This window comes from Homo sapiens, chromosome 18 (genome assembly GCF_000001405.40).
Source record: "Homo sapiens chromosome 18, GRCh38.p14 Primary Assembly".
Lineage (NCBI taxonomy): Eukaryota > Metazoa > Chordata > Mammalia > Primates > Hominidae > Homo > Homo sapiens.
This window is the reverse complement of record NC_000018.10, coordinates 67,564,710-67,587,017: the sequence shown is the minus strand read 5'-3', so window position 1 is coordinate 67,587,017 and position 22,308 is coordinate 67,564,710. Positions and strand designations below refer to the sequence as shown.

Sequence of the window (22,308 nt, the reverse complement as noted above, 5' to 3'; positions counted from 1 at the left end):
AATTGGGACTACAAGCATGTGACACCACAATGAGCTATTTTTAAATCTTTATTTTTGTAGAGACAGAGTCCCACTAGGTTGCTTAGGCTGGTCTGCAACTCCTGGACTCAAGTGATCCTCCACCTTGACCTCCCGAAGTACTGGGATTACAGGCACTAGCCACTGCACTTGGCCCAATGTTGTTGGCTTTTTATTAAAGGAATGCCTTTGATGCTTTGATGATATTAGCATTATGGCTAAACATAACTTGGAAATAGAACAGTGAGTAAAATTTCAGGCTCATAATAGAGTAGCCTAGGAGTTTATGTGCATTGTATGCACTCAAACTACTCTCCTGACCCATTTCAGAGCCTTCTCTGAGCAAAATCTAATTATCCACCCATTATCTGAGAAAGATTGCTTGTGATGGATCTAACCAATGAAAGATAAAAGCAAGACTATTTTGACCCAGAACCAATTTTCTCCCATGAGGAACAAAGTCATCTTCTGAATGATTTTCATTTAGATCAATAGCCAAATCCATTGGTTAAAGGCTGAAACATTTTGCTGTGGAATGTGTTTTTTCAGCAGACCGCTTACCCCTGGTTTTAGGTCTTCAGGTTGGCTTATTGCCATTAGGGTATTAACACTCTTCATTCAAGTTACAACAGCCTTCTTAGAGATAACCTCACACCTCAACTCAAATAGGATGTGACTTATCTGGTGAGAATGGCTGGCTCAGCCTTCACTCCCTGACTACAGAGATGTTGAACTCTTGTCTGCTCCCTTGGTGACTTGTTAAATGTAGTGGAGCTAGGTCTGCCCTGCACCCTGGAAGGCATCAATCTGGGTGCTAAGCACAACGCAAAGCAAAGTTAGCAAGCTCATGTATTTGCACTACCAAAACCTCTCCTCCAATGTGTCTTTTCCTGTTAGGAACCTAATCCCTATCCTGCCACTCTCCCTCAATGGTTCTAAGCTCCAGTTAGGAAGAGATATAATTGATATTTCAAAACTCAGTCACCTTTTTTCATTTTCCTTCTCTGAAGTATTTTTATAACACCAATTCTGGCGCCAAGAGTATGGAGTTTTTTTCTTCACACCAATCAATTCTCTGACACCAACTGGGTGTCCTACAATTTAATTAAATTCTGACTAACTACCCAGAGTGAGCACTGGGCTCCACATGATTAAAATCTCAGACCACAGACTTCCCTGACTTCAGAGGCCAGTTGCAAGTGGTGGATGCCCAGGTTACCCACATTTCTGCCCCACTTGGCTACAAGGTCAGAGGTTCCCATGACTTCTTGCTCGGTTTTGATAATTTGCTAGAATGGCTCAAGAACTCAAGAAAACACTATTTACTGTCACAGATTTATTATAAAGAATACAAATGAACAGCCAGACGAAGAGGTAAATACGGTGAGGTCCAGAAGGGTCCCAAGTATAGGAGCACCTGCTCTGTCCCCATGAATTGCAGTGCACCACCAGAGTCTGAGTATATGAATGTGTTCACCGACCTTGAGTCTTTCCGAACCCCATTGTTTAGGGGTTTTTAATGGAGGCTTCATTAAGTAGGCACGATTGATTAAATCATTGGTCATTTGTGATTAACTCAATCACCAGCCCCTCTGCACCCATAGAGGTTAGGAGAGGGGAAAGAGGGAAATAGGGCTGAAAATTCCAAACCTCTTATCTCATAATTTGTTCCTCTGTCAACCAGCCTGTATCTTGAAGCTGTCTAAAGGGCCCACCAAGAGTCACCTCATTAGCATAAATAGGGATGAAAAAATGTGGCTTATTAGGAATACTAAAATACCTTCCTCACACCCCTATCAGTCAGAAAACTTCAAGGATGTTAGGAGCTCTGTGCTAGGAACCAGGATGAAGACCAAATATATATTGCCGATTATGTCACAAAATCACACTTTGTTTTATGGAAGTACATCTCTGTTATCCACTTATTCTCATGTAAGTGAAGTTTTACAAGGAAGCAAAGATAGTAGCTTATGTTCAATCTTCAGTTTAACCTGTCAATTTTGTTCCTGAGAATTGAAATACTTATGGAGCAAGCACATTAAGAAAAACTAGAGTTTGATTAAGCATTGATGAATTACAGCTACTTAAGTTTTACCTGTATCTATACTTTTTGAAACATTACCCTAATAGCTGCATGTATGAGTCCTTTCTTCTACTGCTATGAAGAAATACCTGAGACTGGGTAATTTATAAAGAAAAGAGGTTTAATTGACTCACAGTTCCACATGGCTGGAGAGGCCTCAGGAAACTTACAATCATGGCAGAAGGCAGCTCTTCACAAGGCAGCAGGAGAGAGAATGAGTGCCATCAAGGGAAATGCCAGATGCTTATAGAACCATCAGATCTCATGAGAACTCACTCACTATCAGGAGAAGAGCATGGTGGAAACCACGCCCATGATTCAATTACTTCCCACTAGGTCCCTCTCACTACACGTGGGGATTATGGGATTACAATTCAAGATGAGATTTGGGTGGGAACACAAAGCCAAACCATATCACTGCACAACTCAAATTGTGGTCTAGAAACGGCTTCATTGTCATTTGTTTGGGTGTTTCTGTTAAAGATTCCACACCAATTAATAATCCCAGGCAGGAGCTGGTAATAATGATTTTCACTCAAGCACTCCAGGTGTTTCTTATGTAACACCTATTTCTATACGGGGGCGGGGGGAAGAGAGAGAGAAAGATCATTAAATTACACGGTAAGTAAAAAACATAGAAGAAAAAAGATGTGGCCTAGAAATTAATGATAAAATGGTAAAGGCAAAAGGTGATTTTATGAGAATTCTACCAACAAAATAAAAGTTCTGGTTCTGGAGAAATCGCTTGGCAGACTGATCTTCCGCTCTTCCGTTCCTTTCATTTGATCTAGTGGCTCTCAACACTAGCGGGCTTCCAAGTCACCTGGAGGGCTTGTTAAAATGCACATTTGTTGGCCCAAGCCCCAGAGTTTATTGGATGTTGTCTGAAAATTTGCATTTCTAACAAGATCCAGGTGATACTTATGTGCTGGTTAGGGAATCTCACTTGAAAATCACTGCTCTGGTACTGCCACCCAAACACTAGCTTTCAATGGTACAAAGACATTAGGAGAATTGGGAATACATGGATTTGGAGGGGGGAGTAATAATTGAGATGAGGAGAAAAATGTTTTCATTAGCAACAACTGGGTCATCTAACTGGAATGCATTTCTTCCACTCATATACTCATCAAAAACATTCCAAAGATTATGCTATAAAAATAGCAACAAACACGGTTTCAATGTCATTTTTTATATGCATTAAATATGATTCTACTTTTTCAGAGTGTTTTCACAGGCATTAACTCATTGTATTCTCACAAGGATACTTTGAGGCTAACAAACATGTTACATTGTATTTATTTCCATTTTCCAAATAAAAGCTAAAGATAAATGAGTCTGGTTTTCCAAGTTCACATCACTAAGAAGCTCCAGAGATGGAACTATTACCCAAGTTTTGTCACTTCTAATTAAATGTTCTTTCTACTGCCTCACTCTGGCTTTTAAATAAGACGAACATCAGAAATCTGCAGCTACTCATAGGTATAATTGAGTGCCCATATGTAAAAGCAATGATCCCTCATGGCAGGGCTAAGATTCAAGTAAGGCAAGTGAGGTACTCACCTTGGGCACAAAATTTCAGGGGGTGACAGAAACAGAATCATCAAGAAAGCAATAATTAAATGCAATAGTTTAGAAAGTTAAAATTAATGTAAAAATCAATGATGAATAAAATAGAAGCAATTTTGAGTAAGTACAGGTTATTGGTTTTACAGTAGTCATTACGGTGCAGTGCAGTCTTTTGACCTTGTTTAATGCAGTAGGACCATTTTTAATCAGCCCTTGGTTCCTGGACCCACATGACTGTGGTGTTCCCAGCTGGGCAGGGTTATGAGTGTTCACAATGGTGTGTGAACAGATTGAGCGACACGGGGCTTTATACATAGTCATGTCTTTTGATCATAGAGCTTACGTTATCATTTCTACTGGGTTTAAAATATTTTAGGATATTCTGGTAAATGTATATTGGGCGCACATTTTCCCTTTTGCTTCCTGCAAGGCAGTGTCTCATGGCTCAATTCTTGATAGGTTGAGGACTTCTGGAGTTTCTACCAAGATCGGAACAAGGAGAAGGGAAAAAGTAATTTACCTCTAATGTGAAAGGAAGACTTCAGTTACATATCCACTTCAATAGTATCAGTCTCAAAGTGGCCTAATAGCTTTGAAGCCTCATTTGCCTTCTCAGCAATGGCAATTGGCAATTCAGGTTTACAATTCCAGAAGCTCAAAGAAAAGGAGTGGCTAAGGTAGGAAGTTTTAGGCGGCAGGGATCTGAGACATCAAAAATATGTTAAATATGTTAATTTGGCTTCTGTAATTGACAACAGACATGGCATGGTCTGTTGACTCAAATCTTTGTTGCTGTCAGTGGCTTCTTTGACTATCCCTTACGAAGTTCATTTGTAAACATGTTTCTATGTTAGCATAAATGATTTTGACACAAAAGCCTGCATAAGGTTTTTTAATTCTCTGAACATCTTCCCCCACTACTTCAACTATTCAATTTTGTGAATAATCACGGTAATTACTACTGTCATTGTTAGTGTCACTTTAATGAGAAAAATAATTTTCTGGGGTGCTTTTTAATAATGCAGATTTCCAACCTCCATTTCTAGATATTCTAAATCAATAGTCCTGGAATAAAGACAAGTCATTTGCATTTTTAACAAGCAATCCAGTGATTTTGATATAGGTGGTGGCCCACAGGTCAAGATCTCTGGGAACCAGACTCTAGATTAAAGATTTGCTTATAAAGAATTTATTGGGAAATGCAGTCCAGATCAATTCCTGTGGCGAAGTGGTGAGTGAGCAGAGAGAGAGGATACATAACAGCCTCTGCCATCCTGTGAAGAGCTCTGGAGCTATAAGGGCTCTTCAGAAATGTTGACATTAAATTAAGAGGCTGGAATCTTTTACCCTCCCTCCCATCAAGCTGTCCCAAGTCATTGTCTACAGGCTGCCCAGGGATGGAGGTTTGTCCTTGGGAAAAGTGGCTCTTTTCCTGAGAAGGGAAAAAGAGACTTCCACATCTAGTCTGCGGGATTACATCTCCCAGGCAAGATTCAGCTGAGGCCGTGTGATGAGCGCTGGCCAAAGAACTGCAGTTAGAAGGGATGCCTTCACTTCACTTCTAAGCTAGATAGTATAAGAAAAAGCTTATCTCTTCTGATCCACAAACAAAAGAGGTCACATATTCCAGATAGTACAGCTACAATATTGTGGAAGTCTCCATGATCCTGAGTTCCCGAGTGCTAGTGCAGAATGAGGCCCTTAAGCCAATGTCAATGAAAAATGAAGCATGAACTAGAAAAACAAATAAACAAACAAACAAATTGTTTTTAATCTACTAGAACTCTAGCATTAATTTTATAATGCAGCGTTATCTCAACCATCCTTACTAAAATAATGGCCACATTTCTGTTATAAACTGCATAGGACCAGTCTTGTCTAGCGATATCTATGATTAGACTGAATTACATCTTAAGAATTTTACCAAGCTTGGCATTGGTAAAAATAGTATCTTTGAAAAGCAGATAACAATCTCCAGATGGCAAAGGAGAGGTGATCTCTGACTGGCTACCACTTTGGTATGTGCCTTCCCTTGCCATCTGCTATAAAAAAAAAGATGAAGCATTCCCCTATATATATTTAAGATGATAAAAGGAAACCATATCATTGTGTTCCCTTGAATAAGGATAACTACATATATATATAATCATTTATATATAATTTATATATATTATTTATATATACATTATTTGTATATCAAAAAATATATAAATATATAATTTATATATATATATATTTTTAAATGCATTTTCCCTGGTGTCAAATGAGGAGACTCACCATCTTTCTCTTTACTTAATTTCCTTTTGAAAATTAGTAATTGTAAATTCTTTCTCTCTCCTGTAGAGATGTGTATAAACATTTTAAAAAAGCAAAATAAGCCTCTGGCAGTCTTATAACCCAGTAATACTTTTTCTTGAAGACCTTGGAGCCATCTCTTTGAAATGGAAACATCAAGGAAAACAGCATCCCAATCTGTCTGTCTCTGAGGGAGTTTAACCTAGGCACCTGGCTCCACATTGTAACAACCTGCTTTCTAGAGAGATGTGAGAAATTTTGTTTCTCCTTCAGATAAACGCAATTAACTCACACAGGTGGCCATTCCGATTACTACCTGAATTTGGAATAAATTACCTATATCAATAGTGCTGCCAATTCCTCCTACTTGATACTGTATTTTACCTTGAGAACCTGTATGAAATGAATTGTATCAGCCTGGCTATTTAAAAATTGCAATTTATTTCTGTCTTCCTAACCTCTGAGTGGATTTCCTGTTATGTACATCACAGTCTGGTTAATGGTAACTTGATTTTTTAAAAACCCTGTTTGATTCTTTTATTCATTTGTTTACAAGATTCACTGGCTTAACAGTAGATTCTACATGTATTTATTTGTTTTCCCCAATACCTGCAATATAAGAAGAAAAATGGCTCCCGATCAATTATTTTAAAATAAATTTATCACTGTTTTTTACATCATCCAAAATTTAACTGACATCGTGTCTTAGTCCATTTTCTGTTGCTTATAACAGAATACTTAAAACTGGATAATTTGTAAAGAAAACAAATTTATTTTTTACAATTAGGGAGGCTGAAAAACCCAAGATTCAGGGCCTGCATCAGGTAAGAACCTTCCTGCTGGCGGGGATTCTGCAAAGGCCCAAGGGCAGCACAGGTCATTACACAGTGAGGGGGCTGAGCTTGCCAGCTCCGGCCTCTCTTACTTTTCTTATAAAGACACCAGTCCTACTCCCATGATAATCCATTAATCCATTAACCCATTAGTCTGTTAATCCATGAATGGATTAGTCCATTCATGAGGGCAGAGTCCTCATGACCCAATCACCTCTTACGGGCCCCACCTCTCAATACTGCCATACTGGAGATTAAGGTTTAACTTGAGTTTCAGATAGGACAAACATTCAAACCACAGCAGCGAGCAACCCCGTAAATCAAGTGATCACATACAATCATACGGGACTTAATGGTTCACCCAAATTGCCTCATAGAATTCCTCATTATGTTTGTTGGGCTAAAATTTAAATTTAAAATAGTAAATGAGTACTTCAATGAGATGATTTTTATGGTTGTGATAGATAATTAGTATCAACCTATGTTAAATTTTTCCAGATTAAAAAACAATCATTTTCATTTGGTCATGTTTTAGAGTATAGCAATTTAGAACTTTGACCACCAATTTCACATGTCACTCCCATAATAGAAACAGAAGGGAAAACAAAAATTAGAATTACCTGTAAACATTTGCTTTGCTGACTTCCTTGCGAAGATAAAGTGGCCTTCTATTCAGGCCTACATTTTCAAAAATATCTAGGGACCCAACTATCAGCCTGTTCTGATCACCTTCTATTCACCCTACTGGTGAAGGAGGAATCCCACATTGGTAAATATCATAAGATGACAAAACAGGACACCAACAGTGGTCAGAGGGCACTGGTGATGTCTTATTAATGACATATACTAACAGGCTATGGGAGACGGATGCTATATACCGTGCAGAGCCACGAAGTTCATTCAGATGCAGAATGAATCATCAGGGCTATGGGAGGCAGGCTTTGTAGTAACAAGAGGGTGAAATGACCCTTGATTCTCTTAGAAGAATGAAATTTGTTTATTTAAATAATTTTATATGGTGGCAAGGAAGTGAAACCCATTTTGTTGAGGACCAGGTGAGATACAGTTGATTGAGCTGGGTAGAGAGTCTGTCTTGTTGTGTAAGGACATGTCTCACGAGAGCAGGAAAACTCATGGCAAGGCCTCTGGGGCCTAGTGGGGCTTAAAGATGTCAAAGAAGCACTTAAAATTTACTTCTTACAATACAAAGTTCTAAATTAATACAAATTGTGCTGTTTGAACATCTGGTATATCACAAAAAATGTAATTAAAATCATGGTTACTGATGTATGTAAAATTACGGTTACAAATATTGTTAATGAGGATATTTTTAAAATTCTTCTTGCTCATTTTATCTTGTAATTAGTTAAGATAGTAAAATAAGTAGATGCACATACTTACACGTAAATGTGTACATATATACTTGTAAATATTAATACATTTTTTAACACTCCATAAAGGAGAGTAATCTGCCTTTGGTGCCATTTAATTCCATTTAGGGATCAAAACAAATTGTATAGTACCTGATTATTGGTCAAAGGCTTTTGAAAAGTTAGCGGGGTCAATCAAATTTTAACTGTTTCTGAGTATTTTCAAAATGTCAGTACTGTTGCAACATGACCAAAGTGAAAGTATATTGAAGGAGCTAATCTGCATAAGTGAAGCATGTTTCAAATTTAACTGGCTTTAAAGCCACCTCCATATTCATTATTATATATAAAAAGCAGATTATGTTTCAAGAATCACTGTTTCTGTTTCCATGGCATTTTTAAAGGTAATAATTACTAAAAAATAATTATAAGACCAAGAAAAACTTTTTTCAATATAAAATTTATTGTAAAATGTATACAATTTTTTAAAATGTACTGTAGTAATTCAACTTTTATGGGTAATTTAGGCTTCATACAAATATGATTAGTTTTTTGCATTCAAAATTTTTAGGAACTATTTAAAGTGATGAGTGAGTAAATATATTGGGTTTCATGAAACAAAATTTTATTAGATCTATTTTTGTTCTCCAATAATCTTTTTTCAGTATATAAAATTACTGTGGTTTGTGATTTGCGCAGCCTGATAAACACTTATTATCCAACAACCACTGTGTTGTGAGAACTTTGTAAGACTAGATCTATGAGATCTCACTGAAAAGTATATAAAAAAAATTTTACCTTCTCAATTTTGTTTTCTTTTTAGATACAGGGTCTCCCTGTGTGGCCAAGGGTGGTCTTGAACTCCTGGGTTCAGGGGATCCTCCCACCTTAGCCTCCTGAGCAGGTGGGACTACAGAAGAGGTTCATGGGACTGTACCATCTTAGTAATTTACTTTTTTGAAGGTGATAATCTTCTTTGTACCAGTAATCACAAGAACACCTGTCCTATAATACACAGACTATAATTGAGTTAACCAAGCAAACTCCTACTTAGAAAGTAATATGTCAAATTTATAGCACAATCTTAAGCTTGATGAAATGAAGAATTATATCACTTTTTCTTAACAATTAAAAAAAGACTGCTTGGATGATTTAAGAAAAAAAGAGTGAATATAAAACCATAAAAGGAAATTATGTTATAAAAAGGGAGTACAAATCTTGGACATAGCAGCTAAATTCCAGCAAGATGATGTATTCCTTTTGGCAAATCATAGCATGATTTGGTTACATATGTTAGGTTTGGGGTCCCTTATGTTTTCAAGAACTAGAAAAGGATTTGGAATTGAAACACATTTAATTGGAAAATCCAGGGTAACTGGTACTTTAAAAGAGTAACAAAAAAGCCCAAAAAATAAAAAAAAAAAAAAGACAGGAATATAAATAACATGATAAAATCTTAGCCCATTGTAGAAGACCATCAATTTATGAATTAAATACAAATGAGAATAAAGTGAAACAAAATCAAATTCAAGATGGATCATGCAGTGAGATAGGGTTGCTCAAATAATAGACCTCCTATAATTGAGAAAGCTATTTTAATTCACAGATATTTCAACTTGTGAGGGAGGCTGGGGATAATGAAGGAAGAAAGATCAACTGAAGTGGTCGCAACAAAGCTAATAACCAGTGGGCAACAAACGGTCCCACATCCCTCTGATGTTACATGTGGATTCTGGGAGAATTTCGCAGTAAGAACCAAAAAGACAAAACTTTTGAATTATAATAGGAAGAGGAAAATGTGTTTAATTTTGAACAGAAAAGCCAGCTTCACAGTTATCACATATGTAATCAATCTTCTTTAAAAAATTCATTGAAACTAGCAAAGAAGCAGAAACTGTTCAGAAGTCTTAATCATTATAGCACAAAATTTCCTCTAATTCAATACCAATGTCAGCACCTCATCATTTTTGAAAACTGAAATACAGTATTTTAACATGCCTTTTTTTTTTTTTTTTTTTTTTTTTTTTAGACAGAGTCTCACTGTGTCACACAGGCTGGAGTGCAATGGTGCAATCATAGCTCACTGCAGCCTCAAACCCTTGGGCTCAAGTGTACTTCTTGCCTCAGTCTCTCAATAGCTGGTACTATGCCTTGTCCTTCCTTCCTTCCTTCCTTCCTTCCTTGCTTCCTTCCTTCCTTCCTTCCTTCCTTCCTTCTCTCTCTCTTTCTTTCTCTCTCTCTCTTTCTCTTTCTCTCTCTCTCTTTCTTTCTTTCTTGACCAGTTAACATTGTAAATGTGTAATATAAACTTCTTTCTCTTCCTTCCTTCCTTCCTTCCTTCCTTCCTTCTTTCTTTCATCTCACTACGTTGCCCAGGCTGGTTTGCCTGGTCTTGAACTCCTGGCCTCAAGCAATCCTCCTACCTTGGCCTCCCAAAGTGTTCAGATTACAGGCATGAGCTACCAAGTCTGGCCTCTAACATTCATATTAATATCACAATTCCACAGAGGTCCTCTGTGTTATTGAAAGAGAGTAAAGAAATTACTACTATCAACGACAACTCACCTGTTTCAACGAGAAAACACTTATCACCACAGCTGACTTTTCATAGTAATATGCTGTGCAAAAGCATGACATTTGAAAATACAGTTGATCAGGAAAGTATCAACTGCAAATCTAGCTCTTCTTTGATGGTATGCTTCAGCCAGATCTACTTAGTTTGTGTATATAGTGTGCATATAGCTTGTACACACACAAACAAACATATACATAATTAAAACGACATGTACATATAGAATTATGTGACTTCATATATATATATACACACACATACATTACATGCATATATATGCTGAATATATAACTATATATCCATATCTATATCCCAAATGATCTTAATGTAACCTCAGCTGGAAATAAATTGTGGGCTCTTACCTTTTCCCATTGTTCACATTCGGTAAATAAGTTCAAGCCCCTAGGGAATGTTTCTTAGACAACGCCTTCACTTGGGAAGTCAACAACTTAACTATAACTTATTTTTACCAAGTAATTGCCTGGTAACATTTTTTCCTTCCAGGCTGTTCTTTTTTAAGATCAAAGACAGTCTCTTTCATTTTATAATATGTTCCACATGAATAGCAAAGGACTAAGTATGTATGATGGAAACACACATTTTAATTGAGAGAAAGAAGGAAATGAGAGAGGCAGAAAACAAGAAATGGAAGCAGGTTACAGAGCTTCAGGTCATCTGTCTCTAGTCAAGGCCCATCAGACATAAATCCCTACTAGGCCCTAGACTAGGATAAACCTAAACCTTGAGGAAAAGCAATCAAACAATGCCATATTACGTCCCCAGTAATCCCAGACTTTTGTTCAGACTTTTGTCCCAGACTCTTGTGACACAGTTGAGGAGCGAGAAAATATAATATCGGGATCAATAATTTTCCACATTGATTATAAAAAAGAAATTATTTAAGGGGAAAAAGAATGTCTTCTCTGTAAGAATACGTTCCTAACCCTATAGTCAACATCTTCCACTTCCACACACCATACTTCCAAATCCCCATTTGTCTTTATTTATATTTCTCTCCTCACTGTGACTTGAGATTTGACCAATTAACATTGTAAATGTGTAATATAAACTCCAAAACAGCCTTACCAAGTTTTCTATTAAAACCACAATTACTTTTGCACCAACCTAATAGTTCCATAAAAGGTACAGTGTCCTCTATGAGTGTCTCACGAATAATCATTGCCTTCCTATTAAAAACAAGAACTAGAAAATAGATCTGCAAGTACCAAACCTAGGCAGCACTGTGAGTCAGAGCATGCACGTAAGAGGCAAATTTGATGAAGCGGGAGTGAAACAGTGATCAGAATCAGGAGCATCAGACTTCACAACATCAGAGTCATGGCCTGGGCTGCAGCTCTCTTGGGAGGGATTTCAGTCAACCTGGGAATGTGGTCTTGCACTTCATGCAAGCAGCCACACTAGGAAAGGACTGAGGTAAAAAACTCATAGGTTCTTGTTTGATGTGATTACTCTTCCAGGGCTGATGAATAAGGGTTGAAAGCCTAATAGAGAACAGAACAGTGAACTTTTGTTTCTTGCCTATTATATATAGGCTGATGCAAATTGGTCTTCTTTGCGTTTAATTAAACTATTTGATCTATAGCAACCAGTGTCGTTATGAGGAAGTGTGTTCACCTGCTTGATTCATTCAATTACTCAGCAAATATTTACTGATTATATGTGCAAGAAATTTTGCTGCTGATTCTAAGGGATACGTAAATAAAGCAGATATATAAATTGTTTTGTATTCAAACTCTCAGAAGGTAATATATAAACATAAAAATTATACTGTATTTTTTAATAATACATGCAGGAATATATACTAATTATAATACTAACTAGATCTATGTAATATAATGAGTACAGATTAAAACACACAGGAATTTAAAAGAGGATTCTATAGTTTTCAGTTTAGAAATATAAATTCGGATTTATGTTTCACGTGGAATTTGAGTTAAGGAGAAGTGTTTGCGTAACAGTTTTGTTTTTTAAAAAGATATTTCAGACATAGAGAACATTGGATCAAAACTCACACAGAAAAATTTCACCTTTGAGCTGCAATAATTTACAGTTGAGTATGACCAGTGTCTGTTCCATATAATAGCAAATAATGAGAAAAAAATTAAATAGGTTGTTGATTCCAGAGCATGGAAGTATGACTGACATATTTGAGCATCATTCTATGGCCAATGGGTAGTCATTAAATATTTTTGGCTCTTCTCAAATAGAGAAGTGATATAATAAGTACTGGTCTTCAGGAAATTGATCTGGCAGTCAATTGATCTGGTAGCTCCAGAAGTACACTCAGAGTGTACTCAAGGCACGGAAAGATGAGAGCTAAGGAAAATTATGGGGAGACTACTGTAGCTTCCCAGAGTTCTTGACAGTTGAATTAGGATAGTGGCAGAAGGGAGGATGAGTAGTTAGTAGATGAGTAACAGACACTGTGAATGTAGAACAAATAATATCTCACCAGTGAACAGAGATGGGACTAAAATAAAATTTTGAAAGATGATAACTAACAGATGACAAACCTGCACTCCAAGAGGCATTTGTAGAAGCAACAGATTCAGTCAAAAGAAGTGTAATATTCCTGGAAGATAAATGAGATCCATTATGTCACTGAGAAACTTGATATATAGGATTATACTACATTTTGCAAAAATGTATTGTTGCTTTTAAACAAGGAAATAAGATCCCTATTTGAAATGTTTCTGAACTTTGGTTTTCTGATATTAGAAAATAGACATAATTGTGCATACATTTTTTAATATGAGATGGAGTGGATATGGAAAAGGGAAGTTTGATTTCCCTTCTACATAGAAATTTGAATCCTCAAAATATTATCAAAATGACTCTTGGACAAAGATACTATCCAGTTTTGTTGTTTCATTGGTTTTCATGTTTGAGTCTGTTAATTCAGTGGCTTAATAGTAGGTTAAACTTCAGTCTGTGTGAAAGTGAGGGTTACTTTTGGGAAGCATCCAGAATTACCATGCTCTTTTTTCTGCAATTTCTCTACTTCCAGATATTGATGTCCAACTGCCAACCAACACTGTGGGCTCTCATGCTGTCCTTTGGTGACTCAGCCCTCTTCTCTCCGGGGTTCTTTTTGTCCTGTATTCCCCTTAAAGACTTAATGGTCTGGACTTTTACTAAGTACAGGTCTCCATCAACATGTGTCTAGTGCTCTTCCAGACTTCCAGGGCCTGGCTTCCTGTACAATGACAGCTAATTACAAGGAAAGCCCATCAAGTTTAACCACTCATTGACTGTTTAAAAAAAGACTAAAAGAATATATCTCAAAATGTTAAGACTGGTTATTGCTGGGGTAGTGAGGAATAGAACCTATGTGTGTGTGTGTTTGTGCATGCCTGTGCATACACACAAGTGTATGCCATGGGAGCTATGGGGAAATTCAAAAGCACAAACTTAAAAATCAAGTAAGTTAGTTTAAGAAAATACTAGCGCAGCTTTGAAAACATACGAAGGGAATGCAGGCAGTATCGCTGTGTCATGGCTATGGCATAGGGACTAAATTCACCAGCTTTAGAGTCAACAGCCTGGGAATCCTGTTCTACCCTTTATTGACTGTAATGTAAGGCAAATTGCTTATATTGAATATTTATAATATAGGTAACAGTATCAATTCAAACTTTTCTTTGGGAAAAGTATCAAGTAATAGATATTTCGCTCTTAAAGACACTTGCTATCATACCAAGAACTCATTGATCATTGCCTCTTACTGTTATCACAGTGGACTGCTTTTATTTTATTTTCCTTCCTCTCTTCCCTCCTTGTCTTTCTTGCCTTCTTCATCTTGTAGTAAAGGATTGGTTTTGTATCTTATGCCCTCATGAATTCTCCTTCATGCCTAGATCATATGGTTGTGAATTCTTACAGATACTATTCATATATCCTGAATTTCTATTTCTATGAGAAGCATTAGTCTGACAAGGAATCTGGATAAAATGATATGTTTTATGTAAATACATATTTCTGGCTTGCTTCCCTCCCCTCCAAAACAAGTTAAAATAATTCACATTTCTACCTTATATCAATGCCATGCACCCCAAATTTGAAAGAGCAAGGAATATTACTCTATTTGATCTTGTCCATCTAACTATGGAGAAATTGCGTTTTATTCTTACTTGCATTTGCCTTTCACAAGGTACATGGAAGGTTGAGCATAATTTTCTTTTTTTAATTTCCTCTTTGGACTTGCATGTGTGAAAGTTAAGTAAGCATATCTTTTACTCACTTTGCTATTTGATAAATGTTCTTTTATGTGATAATAGTCCTCTGTATTTTAATGACATTAATACTTTATCTTAAATTGATTTACAAATATTCCAATCTTCCATTTGTTTTTTGAGTTTGTGTTATATTTTTACGTTCATTGATTTATTCATGTATTTATTCCTTTATTCAATCATTTTGAGCAGTCAAAGGTATCTACAGATTCCTTTATAGCTTGAGTCTTACTGACTTACTTAAAAGGGCCTTGACACCTAACAAGAATGTTCTAACAGTGAAGGGGAGGCCAGAGCTCCTGGGAAGGAACTGACCAAGGGCAGATTAGCAGATGAGAGTATTTCCACAATTACTAATTTTTGCATTTCTCATCTGTAAATTACCTCATGAATTTAGGACATATTTCAGTAGAAAGTGTGTCTCTATCTTCTTGATTTCTTCTTGATTTGTATTAAGTTTGCCTCCTTCCTTCCTTCCTCCCTCCCTCCTTTCTTCTTTTTTTCTTTCATCTTTCACTCTTCAGTGCATTTTGATGAATAGAAGTTCTTAAATGCAATCAAATTTGACTACGTTTCTTACAACCTGGCTTTTAATACTTTCATTCCATGTGATCCTAAAATTTTCTATATCTTAACCCAAAGTTTTTATAGTTTTTCCTTTCCTGTGTAAATCTGAAATCTACTTGAAATACAGATTTGAGCATAATATATAAGGCACAGGAACATGTTCATGATTTTTCTTCTTTGTGGATAAATAATTGTCAGCTGTCACTGAAAAATATTTAATTTCATCTAACTTATTGTTTTCACATAGGTATGTTTCTTGGCTTTCTGTAATCTAAATTGGCTCTGGCCTTGTCTTCTCGCCACTGAAATTTACAAAGCCATAAAAGTTCAAGTTCATGTTTTTTAGTTCAGCAAATGTCTTCAATGCAAAACCAGCTTTGATGTCTGGGGTTTCAGCTTTTATTTTATTTTTAGCTGCTTATTTTTCATATTTTTAAAATAATGTTTAATTTTATTTATTTTTTTAATTGACAGATGAAATTGTATATATTTATCGGGTACAACAGGATTTTTTGAAGTGTGGAATAGTTAAATCTATGTAATTACTTCACATAGTTATCATTTTGTGGAAAGAACATTTAACATCCACTCTCAGCAGTTTTCAATTCTTATTCCACTTCTTCTAATGCACTTACGAAGACATTTTATATATTTTCATATATTTTATCCAGCACTATTGTCCATAGCGAGGCCAATGCTGATACCTGGTACTTGCACCCATGGAAACAAATGCTATTTTATTTCACATGTATAAAGAATTAATGAGAATAGAATTTACTCTTCTGGAAGAAGACAAATAGAAATTCATATTTATTTTCTTTAAGATGGCTTTGCAGTTTCATAAAATAAAATATTGTGTTAGATATATAATGAAATGCCTCCCCTCTCTCTCTCCTACACACTACGCACACACACAAACACGCAAACACCCACCTAAACATATGGCATCTATTTCTTCTCTTACTAGCTAATTCATTGTCTGTTCTTGGTATGTTAGACCATATTGTTTATTTTTTAATGTCAAGTAAGACAAATCCAACCTCATTAATCTTCTTCATAATTTTCTGAGTATTTTTGGATGTATCTTCTTTCATATTCACTGTAAACTAATGTCCAATTGACAAAACAACAAAAATAAGAACAAATGCAATGAGAACAAAACCTTTAGGATACTTCTTCTAAGTGTACTAAATTAATACATTCATTTTGTAACAGTTGACATTTTTATATTATGACATCACAATCAATAATGTAATATTTCTGAAGATCATATTTTATATGCTCCAATGAGATACTATAATATTATTCAATTAGACTTTATTTACTTTTATGTTAAATCTATTCTTAAATATTTTATTGTCTTTCTTTTGTTTTGAACTAGCTATTTCCATCTAGCTAACACTAGTACAACTCTTTAATACCACTACAGCTAATGAATTTGGGGATATTATGCCCTGTCACTTTATCACAATTACTTATTAATTCTGTTAATCTTTGCTAGAGTCTTCTGGCTTTTCTAGGTACTCATTAATACAATTTATCCTTAGAGTATTTGTCTTTTTTTAATATTTACTGAAACCATCATTTTTGATCTCAATTTATTTTGCATACCTCATACAACAATGGTGTATGAAATTACTTTGAAAATGGTGATGGTGTTACTTTCTTAATTATCATTTCCCAGTTTTGAAAGATGCTTGCCATTGTTTTTTGTTAAATGATTTTCACCATACTCAGAAAGTATCTTTATATTTACAGCACACTTGAGATTTAGTAAATAATTACCGGCATACATTGTTATAAATATGTGGTTTATATATTTTAATTTATTTGATACAGTTAAATATGTAATATATTTTATGATATCGAAGCACACTAATCAACCAAAATTACAATATTGTATTCTGTTATTTTCCTGCTTGAACTGAGTTTTCTTATATTTGATTTGGACTTTGAGATATACATACTTCCTTAAGTGGAAGATTGGACTATATCTTTCCTTTTTTTTTTTTTTTTTATTCTTTACAGGCTTTCCTATCAAAACTATACTTCTAAAAATAAATTAGGGAGCTTTTTGTCTTTTCCCAGTATCTAGAATTTTTAAATTATCATTTAGTTCTCGTTAAGGGTAGATATAGCTCTACAATAAACTCGTGTTAAATGCTAGGCCTTTAATCAATTTTTCAATTATTTCTATAATTTTCTATTCAATACTTCTTCATGGATTCCTTATAATAATTTATAGCCTTCCAGTTAACAGTTTTCTAATTAATTTTCCTTGAGTAATATCTAACATTTTTGTATTATTCTATATATTCTGTATCTACGGTTTTGCTTCGTTTTTCATTTCAAATGTTGCATATACTTTTCTATATATGTATACATATTGTTATTAGTAATCTACTATATTTAAATATTTTCATTTCATTTTTTTCTTTCCTAGACTGTTTAATGTTACCAGACATTCTAGTAAATTTTGGCTCAATTTCTTATGAAAATTCAAACTGATAATTCTGGAAGTTTAGCACATATAAACAAATACTGAGTTTGATGTTTTTAAAAATGCATTTATTTTATTTGCTTTTACAACCATTTTAACTGCTTATATTGAGAAAAAATAAAGAAATATTGGTATTTCTTCTTACAAATGGATGATGTAGAAATAGTTAAAATAGGGACTTACAAAACTGAGGTCCACATGATCTACTCAGTTAGAAAGCAAAAACAAATGTCTATTTATTACATAGGAAAACAAACTACTAAGATTGTTCAATCAAATAGCAGGTGAAAATCTGTAGTTTTGGCCTCAATATTTGCATTTCTGCTTTGGCTAAATGGTTGCTTCTATAATTTCTGGCAATATATTCTTTCTCATAGACTTTTGTGCTTGGAAATTGAGCAAACATTGACATATCTTATTTACCAGAGATTATAAACATATGTTGTGGGTTGAATTGTGTCCCTTCAAAAGATATGCTCAAGTCCTAAACCCCAGGATCTGTGAACCTTATTTAGAAATAAGGTCTTTGCAGATGGAATCAAGTTAAGATGAGGTCATGCTGAGTTAGGATGAAGTCATGCTGAGTTAGGATGAGCCCTAACCAGTTTGATTGGTGTCCTTATAAGAAGAGTAAAGCACTACCTGAATACAGAGACACACAGGAAGAGTCAGTGAGATGACAGAGGCAGAGACTGAAGTGGTACAGGTGTAAGCCAAGAACCACCAAGTGTTGCCAGCAGCCACAGAAGCCAGGAGAACGGCAGGGAAGAGACACTCCCTTAGAGCTCTCCGAAGAAACCGAGATCACTGATGCCTGTATTTTGATCCTCTAGCATCCTGAGCTGTGAAGAGAATAAATTTCTGTTGTTTTAAGCCATCTAGTTTGTGGTAATTTATGAAGGCAGTCCTGGGAAGCAAATTTACCACTATATAAATTCTAAAGTTATAGAACCAAAGAAAAGCACATACTTCAAATTTCATGAGGAGGATAATGGTATCTTTCTTGTTTATTGCACATTGTTAGCACTTTTCACACAATATGTGATTAATAAATATATTTAGGAAAGTGAATATGAATGTAGAGTGTTGCTGCATGCTACTTTTATGGAAAAACAGCTGAGTTGTAGAGAAAAGAAAAACTTCAAACAGTTGAATATAGATAAATAAAGATTAAATAATAAAATATAAACAATAATGTTAATAATGATTTTATAAAATAATATATTGGGTCAGAGGAAACATCTTGGAAGAAATTAATCTTGAACTTTTATTAAAAACATTTCATTTACTTATTTTTTAACAAATTATTTATTATTTGTCCCCTGAATGTAATATAATGATGAATATGGCTAAAGAGGAGATACAGTGAAGTCAGCAGGGAGCAAACAATAAAAGGGAAACAAATAGCGCAGATAATGGGAGCAATACAAAGCCCATCACGGCTACAACAGAAGGACTCAGAAGGAAATCTTTGTGAAACAAGTTAATATTGGCCTTGAATACCATATAAGAATAAAAAGACAGTCATTTGTGTTCTCACTTCTCATATTTTAGAGTAGAGAATATGAAGTGAACAATATTTTTTTTTTTAAAAAGGAAGGGTCTCAAGACTTTTTGCTGGAAATATAAATGAAACAGAAAGCATAAACACAACTGAGAGAGTTAGTGTCATTGATGATACCAAGGATATTGAGAAGATTAGCAATTTGCAGTGGTGATGGATAGGAAGAGGTGGGTGCTAAATTTAGTGTTACATGTCCATATGCAAGTACTAACAAGTTAGAAATCTGGTAGAACCTACACTGATTTTTTTATTGTTGCTGCAAATACTCATTGCAAACTTAGAAGCTTAAAATAACAAAAATGCGGCCGGGTGCGGTGGCTCACGCCTGTAATCCCAGCACTTTGGGAGGCCGAGGCGGGCGGAACACGAGGTCAGGAGATCAAGACCGTTCTGGCTAACACAGTGAAACTCCCGTCTCTACTAAAAATACAAACAATTAGCCGGGCGTGGTGGCGGGCGCCTGTAGTCCCAGCTACTCTGGAGGCTGAGGCAGGAGAATGGCGTGAACCCGGGAGGTGGAGCTTGCAGTGAGCCGAGATTGCGCCACTGCACTCCAGCCTGGGCTGCAGAGCAAGACTCCATCTCTAAATAAATAAATAACAAAAATGTCTTAGCCTATAGGTCTGGAGATCAGAAAGCTTAAATGAGTCTTACAGGACTAAAATCAAGAAAACAGCATGGCTGGTTCCTTCTGGAGGCTCTAGGGAAGGAATCTGTTCCAAGTCTCTTACAGCCTCTAGAGGCTGCCTGCCTGCCTTGGTTCATATCCCCTTCCTTGTCTCACTTCAAACTTCTGCTTCTTTTTTATGTCACATCACCTACTATTGACTTTGCTACTGTCTTATAAGAAAAATTGTAATTACATCAGACAAATCTGATGAGCTGGGTTGATCTCATGACTGCATGATTCCCAGCTTAATCACATTTCTAAAGTCCTTTTGACAGTGTATGGTATCATTCATGAGTCCTGGACATATTTGTTGGTCCCTTATTCAGCACACCAGTGAGCCCAACAGACAGTTTCCTAACTAAAGCTATTTGTTGGTACAGATTTCTAAGAAGCATGTAGCTCCACAAAGAGCTACAAAATGTTTCCAGCCTATAGAAGAAAATACAGAAAATGGCTACATCCTGTCTGCCAATAAGAGTAAATATATATTATATTTAAATCCTACTTAGAGTTCTTACTAGTTGTGTTACTTTTAGAAAGTCACTAATATACATAGATTCCAAGGCCAAAATTGTTAACTCTTACTTCCAACAGCCTCTCTGATTTTATAGGTAAGTATTTCTTGAGCTGACAAACTGTAAGATAATCGTGCAGCACATGGCTATATGGCTCTAATCTGAATATACACAGTGGTACAAGCTTAAGAAAATTAGGTGGAAATAAACATAAAAAGGATGCAGACTCATTTTCTGAAGCAGCACAAAGGGAGAACTGCTGTCATGCTACTCTGGCCCTCTTCCTTGCCATGCCCTATTATATTGAATGACATTCATCAAGCTGGGACCTGGCGGGCACTGTTTGACAGCTCCATCTTAGTGTCCTCTGATATCTACTCAAAAACCTAGTCCTGTAAAATGCACTTCCGGATTATTCTTAGACTTCATCTGCATGCATCCATGTAAACTGCCACTATTCTGGTTTTAAAGGCCATTATTTCCTACCTAGGCTATGGGAAGCACTCTCACATCAATTCTGGCTTAGGCAGGCTGAACTTTTGAAAATTTTGAATGTCTTCAAAGTTTCAAAAGTCTTACCAAATGCCTGCCTCCATAGCCACTTGCATTACTCTTTAGTGTAAAAGCCAAAATATTGGATATCTCCTAAAGGATCTGATTCCAGATTGTATTATGGGCATCATCATATACAACATTGCCTTCATTCCCCCTGCTCCAAAACACAGGACATTTCAGGTCCTTGGCCTTCTGGATTCCACGTTCTCTTCCTGGATTGACCTTCCTCTTTCTCTGGTTAATTCCTCTTCTTTCCTTATAACTTAACTCAATGATTACTCCTCGGGAATCTGGTCCTTGACCTTCCCAAAGTAGGCGATATATCCTCAAAGTTTCATGAATGTCTCACTTGTAGCATTACTGATGGTTCAATAATCTATTGTGTAATTAATGGTTTCATGAATTACACAAATATTAGGCTGAAACTTCCCTGACTGTAGAAACTATCAATATTTTATCTCAGAATTTTGTTTCCAGTGTCTTAGACATATTCAAGAAGTGAAATTTTTTGAAAGACTAAATAGCTCAAATAATAAGTAAAACACTTCTAAGTGGAGTGAGATAAGTAAGACATTTCTAGCCAGATTAAGAACTGTCATTTCAAGCTAGTGCAAGGGTCAAACAAATCTAATTAAAATAATGAAAGGAGAAATCTTGTTCATAGACACATACCACAGAATGGGGAAGTGAATCTGAAGCATATGGCAGAGGAATAAAGGTCAGCGAGTATAGATTTTATCCATGTTTGTCAGTGTATGAATTTCAGCATCCCAGCTTGGAAAATCACCTCAACAGTTTCTGTTCTGGAGATTTATCTATTTAGCTAATAATTTTTTTTTTTTTTTTTTTTTTTTTTTTTTTGAGATGGAATCTCGCTCGTCGCCCAGGCTGGAGTGCAGTGGCGCAATCTCGGCTCACTGCAAGCTCCGCCTCCCAGGTTCACG

The 22,308-nt window shown here is 35.7% G+C and overlaps 1 long non-coding RNA gene across 1 annotated transcript in view, besides 1 other annotated feature; it reads right to left on the bottom strand.

Annotated features, from left to right (window-relative positions):
- Positions 1 to 22,308, bottom strand: part of DSEL-AS1 (DSEL antisense RNA 1) — a 383,074-nt gene that overhangs the window by 312,602 nt on the left and 48,164 nt on the right. The window lies entirely within an intron of this gene.
- Positions 4,027 to 4,588: an enhancer, noted in NCBI's record as "NANOG hESC enhancer chr18:65249667-65250228 (GRCh37/hg19 assembly coordinates)". NCBI's record gives its function as "activates a minimal SCP1, AML or CMV promoter by ChIP-STARR-seq in primed H9 embryonic stem cells {active_cell/tissue: H9 hESC(primed)}" and the evidence as "EXISTENCE:reporter gene assay evidence [ECO:0000049][PMID:30033119]".